We start from the raw sequence: 19,139 nt of genomic DNA, 5'->3' as shown, positions 1-19,139 counted from the left end.
TCCGTTTTGTGAAAACTTGAAAAACATATACAACTTAGAATACTGTATTGAAACCTCATATACCTAGTCAACAATTCAACAATGTTCAATTTTAGGCCAGTGTTTTGGGTTAATACTCCCACCCACTTCCCCTAACTCCTGCATTATTTAGAAACAGATCTAAGACATCATGCTAGAAAAACACTTATTTCTGTTTTTTGCCCTGTCCCACTCCTGAGGCAAGGAACCCTAGCTATTTGAAAATGGAGGGGGGAAAAAAGCGAATTACTAGGGGAAAAAAAAGATGAACATCATGTTAGCATTATCCAGTGTGGTGTTTGGGCTATTCCCATTTTCCCTGCCACATTCTAGGCTGAAGACTCATCATTTGTCTCCTGGTTTCCTGCAACAACCAATAACCACTCTCCTTTCTTCTTTCTCCCTCTCTGGATAGGCATATATGTTTTAAGCTGTTTCATATCTTGCCAGATTGCACTCTGGAAAGGCTGAGCGAATTTATGCTTCTGCCAGCATCATAAGGAGTGCTTGTGCTTGTTGTTAAAGCTTTGGCTTCCTTCTTTCCCTCTCTCCTTCCTTCCCCTCCCTCCCTCCCTCCCTCCCTTCCCTTCCTTCTTTCCTTCCTTTTCTCCCTCCCTTTCTTCCTTCCTCTCTCTGTTCTTTCTTAACCTGTTTTAATTTTTAGAACCCCCTTCCCCTCACCCCGTGGGAAAAAAAGGAAGTTTGTTTTTTAAATTAGAATGTATTTGGTTATAAATGAGGTTAAAGCCCTCCTTCCTCAAAGTTTGCTCATTGAACGTTTGTATATCCTCTTCATGAATGGCCTGTTGCTAATTTTCCTACTGGAGTGATTGTCTTTTTAAAATTGTGTTCACCTATTTATGTTTATCTCATAGCATTGTGCTTATATCAGTGAATTGCTATGAATACTTTTTTGGACTGAGATAACATATATGACATTTATATGAAAGAATAAGCATTTTTATAAAGCTAACAGCTTGGAGCAGCAAGTCACCTTTAACAGTCAGAGGGAGAAGTACGGCATGAGGCATGCATGCTGCTGTGAGGGAACGGGGGACCTGAGTGTGGGCTGGGAGCCTGGGGGCATCAGGGACCCTGGCAGGGAGAAGGGAGGCAGGTACTGCTCACCTAACGTTCCTTCACTCCTCACCATCGTGCACAAGGAAGGTGAGGCAGGAGTTACTCCCGTTTCACAATGACTTGTCCCAGCTCACACCTTAAAGAGATCTCTCGAGACCAAATATGGGATTTTTCTACTATATCACAGTGATTCATATGTTTATTTGTAGAAGGCAAATAAAGCCTTAAAATATATCAAATGTACAATAATAATGAAGCAATTTTTTAAATGTTCAATAGCATGAAGGCCCTGGTCCAGGTCATTATAATGTGAAAATGCCTCCAACAAGCTCTGTCACTTCTTGTTTTCAATCCAGAGTCCCTCGATTCTTGCCCAGCTGTTCAGTAAGTATTCGGAAAGACAGATCGCCCCCCACCCCTAGGGGTATGGTTATGGTGGTAGGTTTTCTGTTTCTATGTGTGTAGGAGGTGCGGGGTGGTGGTGAGATGGGGGAATGATCATGTGTGTACAGTTCTGGTAGATACAGTTGCCTGTCAAGGCAATCAGGAGTGAAATCCTCAAATACCTGGATGTTCTCAACCAACTTCAGGTTCAGAGTGACTCCAGGCCCAAAATCTGTGGCTGAATTATGGGGCCAGTTGGAAGCAGCACATTAATCAGCCATCAATGTTACCAACTAGATGCTTTGTTGGGGGTACCTGCAGTGGCTGCCTCCTGCCAGCCAGAATGGCTGTTCTCTGTGTGTGTGGCTTCTGGGAGCCCAAGGAAGCAAAATTTGAAGCAGAAACATTTTTATTGACCCAAATGGGACCATTAAGGCATTAGCGATCACCCCACCCCCAAAAACTCAGGACAGACAGGGAAGAGGCTCAAGTCCATGGAGAGATACAAAGAAAGTGGATCCTGGGAGCATACAGGACTCCTCCAAACCTAGAGAAGACCAGGAAAGATTATAAAAGCATAATGTGAAGTTTACCAACAGTGGATTTTTTTTTTTTAATGTCAAAAGACAGTTTTAATTCCCATAGCTTTGTTGCTTTCAGTCTGCAATACGGTCTGAAAGTCCCCAAGACTTGCTGGTATGTAGACTCATTTGAGATGGCTGGGGAAACAGAAATACAAATTCTGCCTGTAAGAAAATGGGCCCACCCAGGGGAGTCAAGGGGCTAGAAGGAGAAGTTGGAGCGGTGGGTAGGAGAGGACTAGTACTGCCACTGCCTGGGCTGCAAATCACCTCCCGTAGCCCTCCTTAGCCTATATCCCAGGCCATGGCCTGCAGAATCTCTGCCCCAGAGCTGCTGGGCAGCAGAGTAAGGTAGCACAGCCTTTATCTAGAGTGATAATGGGGAGGCCCTGCCAGTGAAATTGCAGACAGACTGACAGCAGGAGGCTGGGGGATCCACACACCTTAGTGGCATCACCATGATCCAGAAACATGTTTGTCGGAGCCCACGGGGTCAGGCATTCTCAGGAACGCTGAGTCATGCTAACCAAACTCCCAGGCAACAGAAGATGTAGTGTTAACTTCTAAGCATTCACCATACGGGCGTGGTGACTGGAGCACTGATTGGTGGAGTCTCTCCCTTATAGAAAATTTTCATGGAAGCTGAAGACAACCAGAAGGTTGTTGGTGGCAGTGAAATCAGGGGAGGGGAACTGAGCTTGATGTTCTCAAGGTGGCTGAACCCCAACCAGCAGCCTCCCGAGGGGTGGCCTTGTGAGATGCAGGCCCCCTGAACCTTCTTTTCTCTGCCCTGGCCTCCCAGGACTCCACATGCACTTTGAACCCTCATTAATAGCAATAATAAAGGCTTCAGCTTCCTTTGACGTTTGGCTAGGACTTGATTAGATTTCCAGGCTGCTCCTCTGCTTTTGGCAAGGGAAACATCCTGTCATTTAAAGCGGTTTCTGCAGGCAGCTGATCTCATGTGCTCTGGACTGACTGCTCTGCTCCACTCTTGCTGTTTCCTGAAGAGATAAGAAACTGCAGGGCAGGGTGGAAATGACAAGTAGGTGATAATAGTAAAAAATAATAGTGGTGGTAGCTAACTGCTGGCCTGTCCAAGCCTCTTTGTCTTAGAGAGACACCAGTGAGCCTCATAGCCCCCTAGAGGCAGGTACTCTGCCCCGTTTGATGGGTAAGGTATGGGAAGCCCATGCCCAGGCTCCCACTGAGCTGTTGGTTGTGGGACTAGGACTGGAACTCAGGCTTGTTGGACTCTAAAACCCTTGATCTTAACCATTACACTGGTGTCTCAAATGCCTTCGGACTTCAAGAATATGTGCATGTGCCACCAGCATGGGAAGACACCGACCTAAGAAATTGAAGTCTTAGTCTATGAAAATGGCATTTATTTGTATTTTATCACTGCAGAAGAGAAGCTTTGTTTAAATAATTGGTAAAATAGGGCCAGGTGTGGTGGTGCACCCCTGTAATCCCAGCTACTCAGGTGGCTGAGGCATGAGAATCGCTTAAGCCCAGGAGGTGGAGGTTGCAGTGAGCTGAGGTCCTGCCACTGCACTCCATGCTGGATGACAGAGTGAGACCGTATCTCAAAAAAAAACCAAAAACAAACAAACAAACAAAAACAAAAAACCCCGGCTGGGTGCTGTGGCTCACACCTGTAATCCCAACACTTCAGGAGGCGGAGGTGGGCGGATCACGAGATCAGGAGATCAAGACCAACCTGGGCAACATGGTGAAACCCCATCTCTACTAAAAATACAAAAAAATTTAGCTGGGTGTGGTGGTGGCGGGCACCTGTAATCCCAGCTACTTGGGAGGCTGAGGCAGGAGAATCGCTTGAACCCGGGAGGCAGAGATTGCAGTGAGCCGAGATAGCGCGCACTACACTCCAGCCTAGCAACAGGGCGAGACTCTGTCTCAAAAAAATATATAAATAAATAATAATATTTGTTCAAGCATTTTATAAAAACAAAAACATGACTTTTAAAAATTAGAACTCGTGGATCCCTTGAGAACACTTCTGACCCTGGGGTCCATGGACCCTGGTTGAGAAACACCTTACTTTAATAACTCTGGGTCAATAACTAAAACCCAACCCGAGTTTGAGAGGCGATTTGGGCTTTTGAGTTAGACCAATCAGGTTCAGAATTAATTCTCTTCACTCACTTCTTGCTAGGCTGAGGTCACCGGGGGAAAGATGATGGCATTCCTCGGGATAGGAGTTGCCTGGGCCAAGTGCCCTTTGGGAGAAGGTGTGCCTTGAGATGCAGGTGGCATGTGACCCCGCCTCTCCCAGCAGGTTCTAGGTGGCCCCTGGCTTGGCCTGGCCTGTTAGCCCCCCTCCAGCCTCATGATGAGCCCCTAACAGGAGCAGCCTCTGCTCCAAGGACATGCTCCAATTCGAGGGTCTGCCAGGCTTCAGCCCAGGCTGGTGTGGCCCTGGTCTTCATCCTTGGGGAATTTGTCCACCACATCCAAGCCAGTGGCTAGGCACAGGAGCCTCAGGGTTTTGGTTTCACTGTCTCATCAGTCCCTGTTTTCTGCTCTGTTTTCAGAAAACCCCAGGCCCAGGAGCATATACAACTTTAAGACAATTCCCTAAGCAGTCTCCGACCATAGCCAAAATGGGCCAAGAGCATAGCCTTTTCTTCAACAACAACAATTGGCTTTTAAAATAAAGTGATCTTGGCACCAAGCTCTACTTTGAGGTTTAGTACGTTCTCATGTTTAGAAAACTGTATTTTGTCTATTCCTTGGAGGGGTCTGGCCACAAAACATGATTGATTGCTTGAGGTGACTGTCCTGCTTGCTTATCTGGGATAGTCCCAGCATAATTACCAGTTCTCTCTCAAAAGTGTCCTGGTCTGAGCAATAAATTATGTGTTCACTATGCTTATTACCAAAGAGCAGATTCGGACAGACTGTGCCCCGGGCTGCTCTCAGACAGGCCCTGAGATGTCTGGTCTCTGCTCTGTGTGGCCTTGTTCTCTCTAGCTGGAACTCAACTGCATCAGGGTTATAAGGCCTCATGGCCCTCTTGAAGACTTCCGTGGGCGGTCAGCATTAATCAGAGGCCAAGCTGAGCGTCACAGCATCCCCAAAACTGGTTCTTTCTCTCTTTGAATCCCCTGAAAAGAACAATATTGATTCAACCTGATGAATATTTGTGTTTTCAAGTCAACAACATTTTGAGTATCTGCTATGTGCAAGGTGCTGAGCTGGGGTTGGAGAGTGGAGTCTTGAAACAAAGATGAATGAGGCACGTGACTGAGTTTGGGGAGGGTTGTGCCGGAAATGGAGTGTGGGATAGTGCCGGCTGGGGGAAGGCCATACAAGCTGTGCCAAGGATCTCCTGCCAGTTGCCCTGTGTTTGAAGCTAAGGGGCTGCCCTCACGTGGATGGCAGTTCCAACAGGAAGACGAGCTGTAGTTTCAGGAAGCTGCCAAATCATTGCACCAGGTGCACAGAGGAGCCATTGTGACAAGGAAGGCCGCAGGCATTCAGAGGAAGGAGAAGGCAGTGTGGCCTGAGCCTGGGAGGTAAGGGGTGGCCCGCACGGAGGAGGGTAGATTGGCCGGCACCCCAGGTATCAGGAGGCTGTGATCAGCAGAGGAAAGAGTCAGGGGTGGGGAAGCCTATCTGGGCAAAGGCCCAGGGCAGGAATAAACATTTGCTGGAGGGGAACAGAGGCAGTCTGGACCAATGACAGTGGAGGGTGCAAGTGAGGGTGTGGGAGGGGATGAGGGTCCTCAGAAGGCTGGGACCACATGCTTTCTGCCCAAGGGGCTCTAGCTAGGCAGATCCTATGCATGACAGTGGTGTCTCAGCAAAGGCTAGGGAGATTCCAGAGTGGTTAATAAATCATTGCAAAGGGTCTTTTTAAAAAGCTAATAAAATGAAGAGCTAATAAAATGCTTACATTTTGTTATATTTTAGTAAATAGCCCAGCCCCTCCCCATTAACTGCTATGATGCTGGCTTCTCTAGGTCCCCGCTTTGGTTCCCCCGAGAATCCCGCTCTTCCTCCCACACACACATTACCCTCCTCCCACAACTGCCCTGTGAATTGGGCTCCAAACAAAGGGAATGTCTCTTTTTGGCTGCAACAAAGCCCTAGACTTACAGGCCCTTGTAAAATGGTTGTTGAGGGGCGAAAGGGAAGGCCATCATCTCCTGGAATGTATTCACATTTGTGGAATAAACGCCCTACAATTACATTCCTTTGGAGCAGAAAACAGACACTTGGAAGATCAGACTGATGTCTCAGGATAGTGTCTCCTGTCCCCCTTTGATGAGAAGATGGCTGCAGGGAAGATAGTTTCCAATTTTATTCTCCAAGTGGGCTAAAGTCCCCTGCATGATCGAAAGTAATGGCTGGACATTCTGATGGAGGGTGTTTTCTCTAGGAAGCAACATCTCAGGCAGCACCTGGCACTGAGATGCTGTTCTAGAATGAGATAGAGGCGGGAGATGGCCACGTGTATCTTAGCCAAGGCTCATTGATAGAAAGGTTAGAGAAACCCCTCAAACTAGCAAGGGGAAGAAGGGGGTCAGATTGTAAGGATTTAGAGGCATCTCATCGACAAAAGTGTAAACCAGGGGCTGGCAAGAACCATCTCTCTCTCTCTCTCTCTCTCTCTCTCTCTCTCTCACTCTGTGTCTGTGTGTGTGTGTGTGTGTGTCTTGCTCTCACTCTCTCAGGCCTCATGGTCTCCCTCCTCTCTCTCAGGCCTCATGGTCTCCCCTCTGCCTCTCTCAGGCCTCATGGTCTCCCCTCTGCCTCTCTCAGGCCTCATGGTCTCCCTCCTGTCTCTCAGGCCTCATGGTCTCCCCTCTGCCTCTCTCAGGTCTCTCTCTCTCTCTGTCTCTCTCTCTCTGTGTGTGTGTGTGTGTGTGTGTGTGTGTGTATGTGTTCTTGCTCTCACTCTCTCACCCTCTCAGGCCTCATGGTCTCCCCTCTGCCTCTCTCAGGCCTCATGGTCTGCCCTCCGCCTCTCTCAGGCCTCATGGTCTCCCCTCTGCCTCTCTCAGGCCTCATGGTCTGCCCTCCGCCTCTCTCAGGCCTCATGGTCTGCCCTCCGCCTCTCTCAGGCCTCTTGGTCTACCTTCCTCCTCTCTCTCAGGCCTCAGGGTCTCCCCTCCGCCTCTCTCAGGCCTGCTTTTTTCTCCCTCTGGAGGCTGACTTTCACTGCCTCTTTATATGTAGAGGATCAAATGCGGCGACCTCAGCTTCTCCTCATATCACTTTCTGAGTCAACATTCTAAAAGAATAGAGCCGGCACCTCCTTGGTTCAAGTCTCCAATTCCTAGGAGAGAGAATCCAGTTGGCCAGCTTGGGTCAGGGGTCTGCGCCTGGGCCACGAGCTGTGGTCAGAAGGGCCCAGACCTTTGCTGCAGGCACGGCTGCGGGGGCCCGTGTGAGGTGCGTGTAACTGGGGTGGAGGGCAGCTCCCTGGCATCCCAGGAGAGAATGAGGACCCTGTCGGAATCATAAGGGGAAAGCGTTTATACCAGCTTGCAGGAAGAGGGTGGGGGCCTGCAGAGACTTCCCCTGGAGGTGGAACCCATGGAGAAGATTCTGCAGGGCCATCTGGGCTGCTTCCGTTTCCCCCAGCAGATGCTTCTTCCTGCTCTGGGCTTTTGCCCAGATAGGGTTCCTTGCCCCTGACCCTCCTCCTTCTCGCTGATCTCAGCTTCCTGATCCCTGGGGTGCCGGCCAACTGCACTCCTACATGATTTTCTGGGGAAAGCTAGTGCCTGACCATGACCAGGTGACAGTTGTTCTGGGTAGAAGGACAAGCAAGGGCCTGAACCCATGTGCTTTTGCTGGTCTGATTCTTGGCTGGGGTCCCTACAGACCCCTTGGTTTTGGCCAAGGGCAGGGCTGCAGGCGCATAGAACCTGCCAGGCTCAAAGGGAAGGGGTTGGGCTCTGGATTCAGGGCCTCATGGCCTGCCCGTCCCACCCTCCTCTTAGCAGGGCTGGGTGGGCTTTGGGGGCCAGTGCCCAAGCCCCAGACCCTGGCTGGGCTTATTTGCAGCCTCCTCAGAGAAAAGGCAACTCTGGAGAGCAGGAGGGGCCAAGGCTGGAACCATGGGAGGCTGGGAGGTGGTGGGGGCATGAGGAAGGAAGGAGCAGGAGATGGGTGATGGGAGGAGGGAGGACGGAGTGGCAAGAGAAGGGGCTCCTGGGGATGGACTTGTAGGGGAAGGCCTCCCAGTACATACCCCTCAATTGTCTTGTTAACAACAGCCTTGCCCATATTTGAGCCCAGAAAAAGGTGCCATCCTTCTAGACAGTTGTAGGGGCTCCAAGGGGTCTAACTAGCATGGGAGCAAGCTAGCACCGTGACTGCTTTGGTGGGAGTGTGCTTTAGTTCCTGAAAACTGTAGGCAGACAGGGTGACTGCAGGAAGTTAACTCAGGCTATGACACTGCGTCTTTGGTCACCAGAGTGGGCTGAGTGGGGGCAGAGGCAGGTACTGACAAGCATTCTATTCACCTCACCCCGTTGCAGCCTAGCAGCCTGGGAGGAGGCCGTGGGGGACAGCAAGGCAATGTGCTGGGAGCTGTGCTGGTCACAGGTGGAGTGCAGGGCTTGATGAAGGCTGGCCGCTGCCCCCCTCTTCCCTGCTCTGAAGTTCCAGGGCTCCAAGGCCCTGCATGGTCACTGAGCGCCATCAAGGAGGAGGGAAGTTGCTGGAGCTTTCCCGATTGAACAGCGTCAGAGTGGACACTTGGAAATATACCAGGCAGGATCACGCCTATTCAGGCTTCTAATCCTCAGCCCCTCCTGGGCTGGGCATGGGAGCTGGACTTGCAGAATACCCCAAAGCGCAGGTTGACAAAGGCCTCCCTGAGCCCTTGTGCCCATCTGTGCTGGGGTAGCTCATTCACTCAACCCTCTGTGTGAATTTCTTGTGGCTGCTGTAACAAATGACCACAGACTTTGTTGCTCAAAACAACACAATTTTATTACCTTACAGGTCTAGAGGTCAGAAATCCAAAATCATTCTTATTTGGCCAAAGTGAGGATTTTGACAGGGCTGGTTCCTTCTGGAAGCTCTGAGAGTTGGCTTCCTTGTCTTCTGCTTCTCGAGACCACTTGCATTTCTTTCCTTGCAGCCCTTCCTCCGATCGCTCCACTCTCATTTCCGTCATCACATCTCCCCCTGTTGACTCTGACCCTCCTGCCTGCCTTATATAAGGACTGTTGTAGTTATATTGGGCCCACTGGATAATCCAGGATAACCTCCTCATCTCAAGATTCTTATTTATTTATTTATTTATTTATTTATTTTTGAGATGGAGTCTCACTCTTGTCACCCAGGCTGGAGTGCAGTGGCGCGATTTCAGCTCACTGAGACCTCTACCTCCCAGGTTCAAGTGATTCTCCTGCCTCAGCCTCCCAAGTAGCTGGGATTACAGGTGGGCACCACCACGCCTGGCTGATTTTTTGTATTTTTACTAGAGATGGGTTTTCACCATGTTGGCCAGGCTGGTCTCAAACTCCTGACCTCAAGTGATCCACCCGCCTTGGCCTTCCAAAGTGCTGGGATTACAGGCGTGAGCCACCTCGCCTGGCCTCATCTCAAGATTCGTAATTCAATCACATTTTCAAATCCCTTTTACCCTGTAAGGTAACATATTCACAGGTTCTGGGGGTTAGAACATGGACACTTTTGGGGGGACATTTCAGCCTACCACACTACCTTTCTAACCTTTCTCTTTCTAACCTTTCTCTGGATCCCTCACAATGATCTATCAGGAAATAGAAGCCTTGTAGAAAGTCACCTTGAAGTGTGGGGAGGCTCTTTGGATTATTTTGAGTCACAAAATACTATTTAGGGAAGATCTCTTGGCCTGAATAACCTCAGTCATTGCTGGTGTTGGATGCTGATGGAAATCATCTGATGAAATAATTAAAAAAAAAAAAGTAGTAAAGAAATTTAGAACTGATTTATAAATCATCCCCAGAGGTTTGATTTTATGGTTGCTCATGTTAGATGTTACAACACGCTCTTTGTAGATCACTTAAAAAGCAATCTAGTTAAAAGTTGCATTATGGAGAATGGGGTCAGCGATGGGAAGAACTCTCCTGTTTTATAAATGGTACTTATGGCTCCAGATAAAATCTCTGGTGGCCACATTATTCAAGACTTTTTAAAGTGCTTTATCTGAAATATCTTCATAGACATGAATATGAAAGTTCTGAAAATTGTGTTCAATGGCCCGTGTGTCCCAGAAGATCCTAATGTAAAGATGCATATTTATAAAGTAATTTATAGAATAGGATTAAACATATGTAGAACTTTATTAAGAAAATATAATGACTTTGGGACCAATTACAGGCCCTTGAACAGCCACAATAGGCTCAGGAGGGCTGTGCTTCTGTGTAAAGTCCCCTCCCAGACACCACCAGGGTACAGAGCTGGGATGGTGCATGGCTTGGGCAAGTCCATCTGGGCAGAGAGAGAAGGCCAAGGTCAGCCTGTGGGTGGGGACATGGCGGCCTCACTCCACATTTGTACCTCAAGCCTCCCAGCCACAGGGGCGCCTCCTGGGACCCAGCTTGGCGTTCCATTCATGGGGGCACCCACACGTGTGGCTGAGCCCGGGTATGTGGAATGTGGGGGTCCAACCCAAGAAGCAGAACCCACAGGGCTGTGCTGGCCTCTGGGTGTTCTGCCAAAGCATAAGGGCCCCGTAAGGTGGGAGGCAGTTGGCAGAGGACTTCTAGAAGGCGTGGGAAGGATCTTAAAGGACAAGGCACAAGCAAGGAGTGGGCATTCTGGAAAGGCGTCTTGCAGGGTGTGGGGTGGGCATGGGAGGCATGGCTCTTTGAGGCCACAGGAGGCCTGATGGACTGGAAAAGAAAAGAGGAAAGGCTGGGTGCAGTGGCTCATGCCTGTAATCCCAACACTTTGGGAGGCTGAGGCCGGCGGATCACTTGAGGTCGGGAGTTCGAGACTAGCCTGGCCAAAATAGTGAAATCCTGTCTCTACTAAAAATACAAAAAATTAGCCAGGCATGGTGGAGGGTGGCTCCCAGCTACTCGGGAGGCAGAGGCAGGAGAATCACTTGAACCCAGGAGGTAGAGGTTGCAATGAGCTGAGATCACGCCATTGCACTCCAGCCTGGGAGACAGGGCGAGACTCTGTCTCCAAAAAAAAAAAAAAGAAGAAAGAAAGAAAGAGAGGGAGAGAGAAGAAAGGAAAGGGAAGGAAAGGAAAGGGAGAGAAACAAGTGAAGGAAGGAAGGAAGGAAGGAAGAAAGAAGAGAAAGGAAAGAAGACAAGCACCTAGAAGGGTGGGGCTCCCAGCTCAGAAAGTTCTCTGCATGGGAGAGAGCACCCAGCCCTTCTCCTAGCTCCCCCAGGACAGGAGGGGCCTCTGTGGGCTCAGCCCAGCTTGCACCAGGCCCTGTACCCTTGGCGTGGGTGTTCTTAGGGGGGGAGTGTGTGTGCTGGGCAGGATGCCACCACTACAGCCACTGAGCCCTGGCCCTTGCGTGGGGGCTGGGGAGTGAGCTGTGTGCTCCTGAGATGGCTCAGGCCTGGCACAGACAAGAGAGAGGAAGCTTGCAATGGCCTCTTCCTTCTGGGCCCAGGCTGAAATGAGAGATCACAGTCAGGGTGGCAGGAGACTGCTCAGCTGTGTGCACCCTTGGGGAGACCGTCTGTGCTCCTGACCTTCACGTGGGGATGGGCCCCACCTCAGGGGTCAGAGCTGCTGCTCTTCAGGAAGTCTCCCATGCCTGCCCCATTCCCAGCTTGGCACATGTGCTCTCTGAGTGGGTGTGGGTGCCACAGACAAAAGCAATCGGTGAAGTTCTGCAACATGTCCCGCTTCCGCTTGTCTGATGGTGCAGGGAAGCAGAGTGAGCCTCTCTCTGGGGATGTGCAGGGCTGCCAGGAACAGACACACTCACACTCAGGGTCCCTCCAGTCTTCATGGGGGCCACCGTATAAGGAGAGGAGGCAGATGGGACTCTTGCCCGCAGTTAGGCCGCAGGAGTTGGAAAGCTCATTCAGGACGGAATGGAGCTCCAGTGTTTCCATCATCTCTATGCACCTTGCAAGTAGGTGGCCATTTCTTTTGTTTCCAGAGCTCTGCCTGCACAGAGATTCACCTGCCCTTCAGTTTTGCTTTTATCTTCTAGCTCCTACCAATCAATGATTCTCCATTCTCTCAGCCCCTTGGCTTCAGCTGCTTTCTAGCCTCTGCTCCCCCTGGCCCCCCCTGCTGCCCCCCCGCCCCCGCTTCCCTCTGCCTACCTCACTGTCACACTGCAGAGGCCAGGCCACTGCAGCCTTCGGCAATGTCAGCATCACAAAAGGCAAAGGGAGAGGAGGAGGAGCTCTTCCAGATTAGAGGAGCAGAAGGAGCTGGCTGTAAAATGGAGGGTGTGACCCTGAGCTGGAGAAGAACACTCTAAGGAAAACTAGTGCCTAACCTGAAATAGGGGTGGTGGATTAGATAAGAGCACAGTGGCAGTGTTGAATGTCCTATTTGTTAACTCTGCTGTGGTTAGATACAGGGATGACCTTTGTTCTTGGTAAACACACACTGAAGTATTAAGGGGAACAGGGCACCATTTATGCAACCTGTTCTCAAATGGTTCAAGAAACAATGATACGTGTTTTTAAAGAAGTCCACAAGGACTTCTTGCCAAATTCCAGAGACAGTTAAGAGAGTGAGAGACTGAGGGTGAGCGGGAACAAGAACAAGAGAACAATGACAGCCCCCACCTGTGTTGGGGGCCCCTATGTGGGGGTGTCAGCATCTCTGAGGCTGTGGGCCAGCCCATGGGGGACATACTGGTTCTGGAACCCAGCCACGATGCCATCAGCGAGTGGTTAGGATCGTGGGGCCCCACGACCCAACGCAGTTCCCATGGCTGCCCATGCTTTCGGGCATCTTCTGAACACCCTATTTGGGGCAATGTCCAGCCTCTTGTGTGACCGCTGCTTAAGGGTCCTCTACTCCCACTGCAGAGGAGCTGGGGTAGTAGGCATCGCAGAGCACTGTCATTCCTCTGCAGCCAGTGGGGCGAAGCTGGTGGTGGGGCGGGGCTGGCAAGTGGGGGTTCCGGGCACCCAAGAGGCCCCTGGACCCATGTATCTTCCTCTCCTGGGCACTCCCGTAGAGGACTCCTGGTGATGCGAATTTCCATGGATCCCAGAGGGGTCCTTCTGCTCCGGCGATTTGGGGAGGCTCCTGCCTCTGCCCAGAATGGGTGAGGCGGCACTACACAGTGTCTTCCAAGGGCAAGGCCCTGTGCTCCCAGGCCCTGCCCTGTACCAAGTCACTGAGAGTGGAGGCCCCGTGATCTCTTCACCTTTCTTGGGGACAAAACCCACCTCCCAAGGTTGTCGATTGGAGAGGTTCCCAATCAAAGGAGTGATTAGAAGAGAGTTCACTGGTAAGTGAAGCATCGTATTAGCAGTACAGTGCAGGAGGCATGTTACTATTCCCATTGTCATCTTCATTCCAAGACCAGAAGCAGGACAGGAGCCCCTCCATGGATGGACCCTAAGGTGATGATGATGCGAAGGAGAAAGGAGGGTGTTTAAGGGGCTGTGTTCTGTTGTCTGCCCTCTCTAGAGGGACCTGCATTGTACCCATTGCCCAGAAAGGACATGGCATGGCGTGATGGGCTGACACAGGCAGGGGACCAGAAGGGCCCAGGGCATTGCCCACTTAGCACTCCAGCTGCAAAAGCAGCCGTATGTGTCCTGAGGCCCATGGCTCCTGGTCATAGCTGATTGGATCAAGAGAAGGCACCTATCCAAGGAAAATCAGTCTGCGGGCTGCCTAGTGACCCATGGAAATATGAGTGGGACCAATCAGATCCTCTCGTTCAAGATTTAGCCATTAGGAGGGGAGTGGCCAAAGTGCTGTAGGTGGTAGGTCAGTCAGGAGTGGGGCTGGAGGGCCAGGGCAGTGTTGAATATGGTTCTAGGGGAGCAGCACCTCTCCGTGAAGTCAGTAGCGGGAAGAGGAGGGTGGAGCCAGCAAAGGCAGAGAAGATAATTGCTCACGTGTATTGAGTGATAATTGCTGATGTGTATTGAGCAATTACTATGGGCCAGGCACTGTTCTAGGATCACTTAATCATAATCCACAGAGCAGGCACTATACCACCATTCTTATTGTACAGATGAAGAAACGGCTGAAGAGAGATTAAGAAACTTGCTCAAGGCCACACAGCTCGTAGTGGTAGAGCTGCACCTTCAAGCTCAGACTGGTGACTGCAGTGTCACCCTGCTGTCTCCTTCACGGTGTGTGGCTGCTTTGGCCCCAGGCCTGGGCACTCCATTTCCTGCCCTAGGGCTCCAGTGAGCTCCCTCTTATCTTTTGAGTTACCTTCAGGGTGTCTCTGTTCTTTGCAACTGAAAGAGCTTGATGAAAATTCTAAGAAGTTTCTGGCAGGGGACGGGTGGTGGGGGGATCCTTTCGAGTCAGGAACTCCCTGACCTCTCAGGATCCTTTGGATCAGTACCTCATGGGTCAGTTTCACAGGCCACTTAGGCATGAGGCTCCCTGCCCGTGGGTCATCATCAAAGTCTAGGCGGATGGGGAGGTTTGGTTAGTCAGAGGCTTCCCAAGCCCAAGAAATATTTGCACAGTGACGACATCTGAGTGCTGGGTGGGGGATAGGAGTGCAACAATGAGCACTTTGGTACCAGAAAGGAGTCTGGGTGGTGGCGGCTGAAATGCCATTCATATTTGTGCCTGCAGGAAACACTATTCATATGTAAGTGCACAAGTGGGAGCTGTGTCCTGGAAAGTGGCACGTGGGTGGAAGTCTGAGGGGGTGAGAGGCAGTCTGAGGTCTGTCCCCAGACTCTAACCCTGGTCCCAGCATGGTGTGTTTAGACACAGGAGCCAGGTGCCTCACTCTCCAGTGAGGGTTTCTTTGTGAGCACAGGGCCTGCAGATGGGCAAATGGGGTAAGGCAGTGCCTGGGGCCCTGAGCAGGTCTCCACCGCTGCGTGACTCTCCAACATTCGACCAACTTAAGGTCAGCTTGGGAAACCCTGTTCCCGTCAGAAGAGGAAGGCAGAGCCTTCCCTCCTTCCACATTCCCTCCATTCCCCTCCCGGCAGGATGAGTTTCTAAGCCTCTCCCCCAGGCTGGCAGACACCCCCTGCCACCTAAGGTGGCCTGTACTTCTCGCCCAAGGAGGCCATCAGCTGGGGGTTAGGGTACATGACAAGAAGTTTGATACCAAGTGTTCAATCACTCAAGCTTGTAAATGTGTTACCTTAAAATAAGGCCACAGCAAGAGAAGCTGGGCACCCAAAGGCTGCAAGCAAAGCCCTTCCTTATGGGGACAGCAATGTCTGGCTGAGCGTGGCGCGGAGGGTGGGCACTGGGGGAGGCCAGGCCGCCGGGAGGCGCGGCAAGAGGGAAGAGTCCAGACGGCCAAGAACAGCCCTGGGTTTGAGGGGAAGCCTCAGGGCAGCTGTCTTCAAAATGAGGTGGCTGCAGCCTTGGGGGTGCTATGGTGACCCCCTGGGGTACAGGAAGAAACAGAGCTTCTGTGTAAATGAGCAGCGTTCTTTAGAGTTGTTTTAATGCAGGTTATAATATCCACAGTACGTTGGTATGTGGCATAACTTATTAGGGGTGTACTGGTATGGACTTCTCAGCAGAGGTGGCCAATCTGAACAAGGCCCAGGTCCCTCCCATGCCTCCTCTCCTAGGCTTCTTCCCTGCAGCTGAAGGTGGCCCATCAGCAATGCCCGAGGGGATCTCTGTTCAGACGTGAGTCCTGCCTTGGCCTCTCCCAGCAATGCCCAGAGGCAGCAGGGGCTTCAGGGGTCGCCCTGGACAGGTCAGAGGCCAGGATCAGCCCTGCCTGGACCCCTCTTGCCTCCTCCTACCCTCTCCAGGCTTTAGCCCAGCCTTAGCAACACTCTCACCAGCTCAAATCCACATTTTCCCAGAGGGTCCTCCCTCCCATCCTTCCTTTCCCACATCCCTCCCCAGGTGGGCCCAGGTCTTGGCTTCGATGCCTTCTCTGGCCTCCCTCATCCTGCAACAGCCCCTCCTGTCCAGGGCCTGGCTCAAGGCTGGTGTGGGAGCTACATGCCCAGTGAATATACATGCTGCTTCAGACAAGCCTGCTTCCCCTCCAAGGGTTTCTTTATTCAACCTGCAAAGTCACTGTCAGCAACTTGGCCTGGCCCTCTGCTGCTTCCAACAAGGAAATGCTTAAAAGTCAGGAAATGCATTGGGTGCCTTTCCTAGTACCAAAAATTGACTATAACCACTTTGGGCACCCTGAGATAAACCAACAGCATTTGCTTTTTCTTTACTTTTCTAACAGAATTCCAGAAAAAAAATAGATCTCTATTTTATATATATAGATAAAAAACTATATTTATATACACACATACATAGAGATCCTTCAACCAAGAAGAGGCAAAGGATCCAGGGTCCTCTGTGGTGCCCCTTGGCCTGGCACAGGAAAGCCAGGAGGCACCAGCTGTCTTGGGAATCATCTCGGGAAATGCAGTGCTGAGCTAGTGTGCCATGGATGGGGGGTCTCCAACAGCCCACTCCTTCCGAGGAAGGTGGAGCTATGATGAACCAGGGCAGCCCTCACCCGAGCTTTCCACACATCCTGAAATGCAAGCTGTACCTGATGGAGCTTTGAAACTAAAACCCAAAGTGCAGATACAAAAGGATCCCCTGATAGGCCTGGGGGACTGACTCCTTGGAGAAGAGTTCCAAGAGCATCATGCAGCAGGGGCCGGGGAAGCCAGTAGGGAGGACATACACCCACAGCCCCCAGGCCCGGAAGACAGGTGTCATGGACACAGAGGCCTGCTCAGCCACAGGAGAGGGGCTGGGCTCTGTCCCCTCCTCAGGTCTCTCTCAGGCAGGGGAAGCCAAAAGGCCAGGGTGAGGCTCGAATCAAGGCAAAAAAAGGGCTGTGGGTGGTGAGATGTACTGGGGACAGTCCTAGAAACTGCCTACCTCCATGTTGGTGGCCCTCAAGGGACCTGCATTGTAGCCTAAGACCTGCAGGAGTAATGTGTTGACTCAGGGTATTAGAAAGGACTGGATCTAGCAACCACAGGATCTAAAGCCTACGGAGGCTGCTTGGGCTGGAGCACATCGCCAGGGAGATGGGGTGGGTGGAGATGGAAGTGTTAGGGCCGGTGCTCAGTACCCCTGGTCAGACCCCAAAGGCACTTGGTAGCAGGGGGAAAGAGCAAGGTGGGGCCCAGCTGGTCTCAGAGGGCAAGCAGGGGCAATGCAGGAATCATCTACTAACTCCAAGTCTGAGAAGGGAACCCAGAAATCTCATAGTCTTCCCACTTGCCCGCAGTTTCTTCACATTGTGACCGCCCTGGGCAAGACCTGAGAGAGATCCAGAAGTCTGTACTGTGCTGAGAGTGGGGAGTGAGAACCCCCCACCCAGACTCCAAGCCAGAGGCATGGGTGAGGGTGAAGGACAGCTGTGAGGCTCCCCGCTGCCCAGCTCTTGGGGAGCAAGTCTGGTCACCACAAAACTCTCCAAAGGCACTTAGGGTTCAAGTCAGACTGTTTCCCAAGGCACCAACAAAGAAATCCAGGAAGGCCCTCTTGGCCCAGCCAAGAGAACGAGGGCTGCAGCTGCAGAGGCGTTCACTAAAGATGTATTTCCCTGAGGCCCCGCACCTGATGCCACTGTTGCCCCACCCTGACCCACGTTCCCTGCTGCCTCTCCCTCTGGCCAGCCCCTCCCTCCCTGCGGCTGCAGCGTCGTCAGAGCTCTCTGGGGATGATGGAGAAGGGCAGTACAGGGCTGCTGGCCTCCAGCTCAAGGGCGGTGAGGAAGCAGTCAACGGCAGCCTCGTTCTGGCCCTGGGCCTGCAGCACCTCGCCCAGGCCCTGCCACGCCTCGTGGCACGTACTCTGCCTCTCCACGGCATCACGAAGCACCTTCTGGGCCAAGCTCTTGTGGCCCAGCCGACTCAGCATCAGACCCTGTGGACGAAGCACAGGGCAGGGTGAGTAGGGGTGTCCCATGGCACAGGCATCTTGGCAACTGGGCCAAGCACAGGTGCACGGGTGGCAGCAGCCATCAGCTCGAGAGGATTCCCGCGTCTCTGGCTTGGGCACTGTTAAGTGACTGTGCCTTTCCCCATACAAATCCTACCTGGCCCTGCCCAAGCCCTGCTTTAACCCCAGCCTCCTGGGAAACCCACTGCAGGAGCTCTGTTCCTGCCGGTCCCGAGGAACTGGCTTTCAAGTCAACAGACCTGGCTGTGTCACACTGTTTGGGGGATCCTAGGCAAATCCCAGCTCTCTGGCCCTCAGTTTCCTCATCTGTAAATGGGAAAAATCACAGCATCTCTCTCGAGAGCGCGGTGAGGTTGAAAGGAGTCAGGAGGTGTAAAGCTCTGAGAAGTGTCTGGCAGGAGTGTGTTCTCACTCAGTGGGGCCATGCGTCTCAGTCCTTCCTGCTGCCCAGAGCTGCCCTTCACTCCAGGGACGCAGAGAGACGGAGGAGGACGCATTACAGGCCTTCACCACTGCCACCAGGGAGGAAAAGCTCAAACGTGTGCGTGTGCGGTGGCTCCTCAGGAGAGGGTCATGGGAGGAGAGTCAGATGGCGGGGGATGGGGTGCTGGGTGAACGGGCTGGATTGGCTGAAAGATGAAAGGCCTGGGGGGTCTGGGTCACGCACAGGGAAGCTTGGCCCTGCTGTTTGGCTCAAACAACCCTGTTACCAAAGAGATAGAGGAACTAACAGGAATAGTCATAAGAAGAGGCTGGGAAGTGAAACTGGCACCTTGTCCCCTCTACATCCTCTTCTACCCACACTGGGAAGTGGGTAGGGTGGACAGGGTAGTGAGTGGAGGGAGAGGGCAGGGCCCCCTTTCAGCCTCAGGTCCCACAAAGGTTGCTTCATGCCGTCCCACTGATCCCTGTTTCAGCCCTGAGGGTGGCATGAGATGACAGCACGGGGGGCCCTTCTCTTGTTCCAAGACGGGAGGTAAAGCCCACCACCGACTTCCTGGACAGGCGGGGGCCGCAGTGGGGGTGGGGAGCTGCCTTCTATGTGCCTGGAGC

General features: G+C 52.0%; 2 protein-coding genes across 14 annotated transcripts in view, besides 3 other annotated features; one reads left to right on the top strand and one right to left on the bottom strand.

Annotated features, from left to right (window-relative positions):
* Positions 1 to 4,761, top strand: part of STPG4 (sperm-tail PG-rich repeat containing 4) — a 68,318-nt gene extending 63,557 nt beyond the window's left edge. Inside the window, exons 6-7 of the mRNA NM_001163561.2 lie at positions 1,378 to 1,482; positions 4,622 to 4,761. Of these exons, the coding sequence (NP_001157033.1) occupies positions 1,378 to 1,482; positions 4,622 to 4,744 (228 nt within the window). The 3' untranslated portion in view covers positions 4,745 to 4,761. The remainder of the gene's footprint in view (positions 1 to 1,377; positions 1,483 to 4,621) is intronic.
* Positions 1,632 to 2,831: an enhancer, noted in NCBI's record as "MED14-independent group 3 enhancer chr2:47316060-47317259 (GRCh37/hg19 assembly coordinates)". NCBI's record gives its function as "activates an origin of replication core promoter dependent on BRD2, BRD4, P300/CBP and CDK7 cofactors, and independent of MED14, by STARR-seq in HCT116 cells {active_cell/tissue: HCT116}" and the evidence as "EXISTENCE:reporter gene assay evidence [ECO:0000049][PMID:35650434]".
* Positions 10,235 to 11,010: an enhancer, noted in NCBI's record as "H3K4me1 hESC enhancer chr2:47307881-47308656 (GRCh37/hg19 assembly coordinates)". NCBI's record gives its function as "activates a minimal SCP1, AML or CMV promoter by ChIP-STARR-seq in primed H9 embryonic stem cells {active_cell/tissue: H9 hESC(primed)}" and the evidence as "EXISTENCE:reporter gene assay evidence [ECO:0000049][PMID:30033119]".
* Positions 11,011 to 11,788: an enhancer, noted in NCBI's record as "H3K27ac-H3K4me1 hESC enhancer chr2:47307103-47307880 (GRCh37/hg19 assembly coordinates)". NCBI's record gives its function as "activates a minimal SCP1, AML or CMV promoter by ChIP-STARR-seq in primed H9 embryonic stem cells {active_cell/tissue: H9 hESC(primed)}" and the evidence as "EXISTENCE:reporter gene assay evidence [ECO:0000049][PMID:30033119]".
* TTC7A (tetratricopeptide repeat domain 7A) overlaps positions 15,629 to 19,139 on the bottom strand; it is a 160,258-nt gene continuing 156,747 nt past the window's right edge. For all 13 annotated transcript variants that reach the window (NM_001288953.2, XM_047445148.1, NM_001288951.2 and 10 more), the window contains one exon: positions 15,629 to 18,050. In NM_001288953.2, the coding sequence (NP_001275882.1) occupies positions 17,829 to 18,050 (222 nt within the window). In that variant the 3' untranslated portion in view covers positions 15,629 to 17,828. The remainder of the gene's footprint in view (positions 18,051 to 19,139) is intronic.

The sequence above is a fragment of the Homo sapiens genome, chromosome 2, assembly GCF_000001405.40.
Source record: "Homo sapiens chromosome 2, GRCh38.p14 Primary Assembly".
In the NCBI taxonomy this organism is placed as follows: domain Eukaryota; kingdom Metazoa; phylum Chordata; class Mammalia; order Primates; family Hominidae; genus Homo; species Homo sapiens.
The sequence above is the reverse complement of the archived record's forward strand: the minus strand, read 5'-3'. Positions and strand labels throughout refer to the sequence as shown.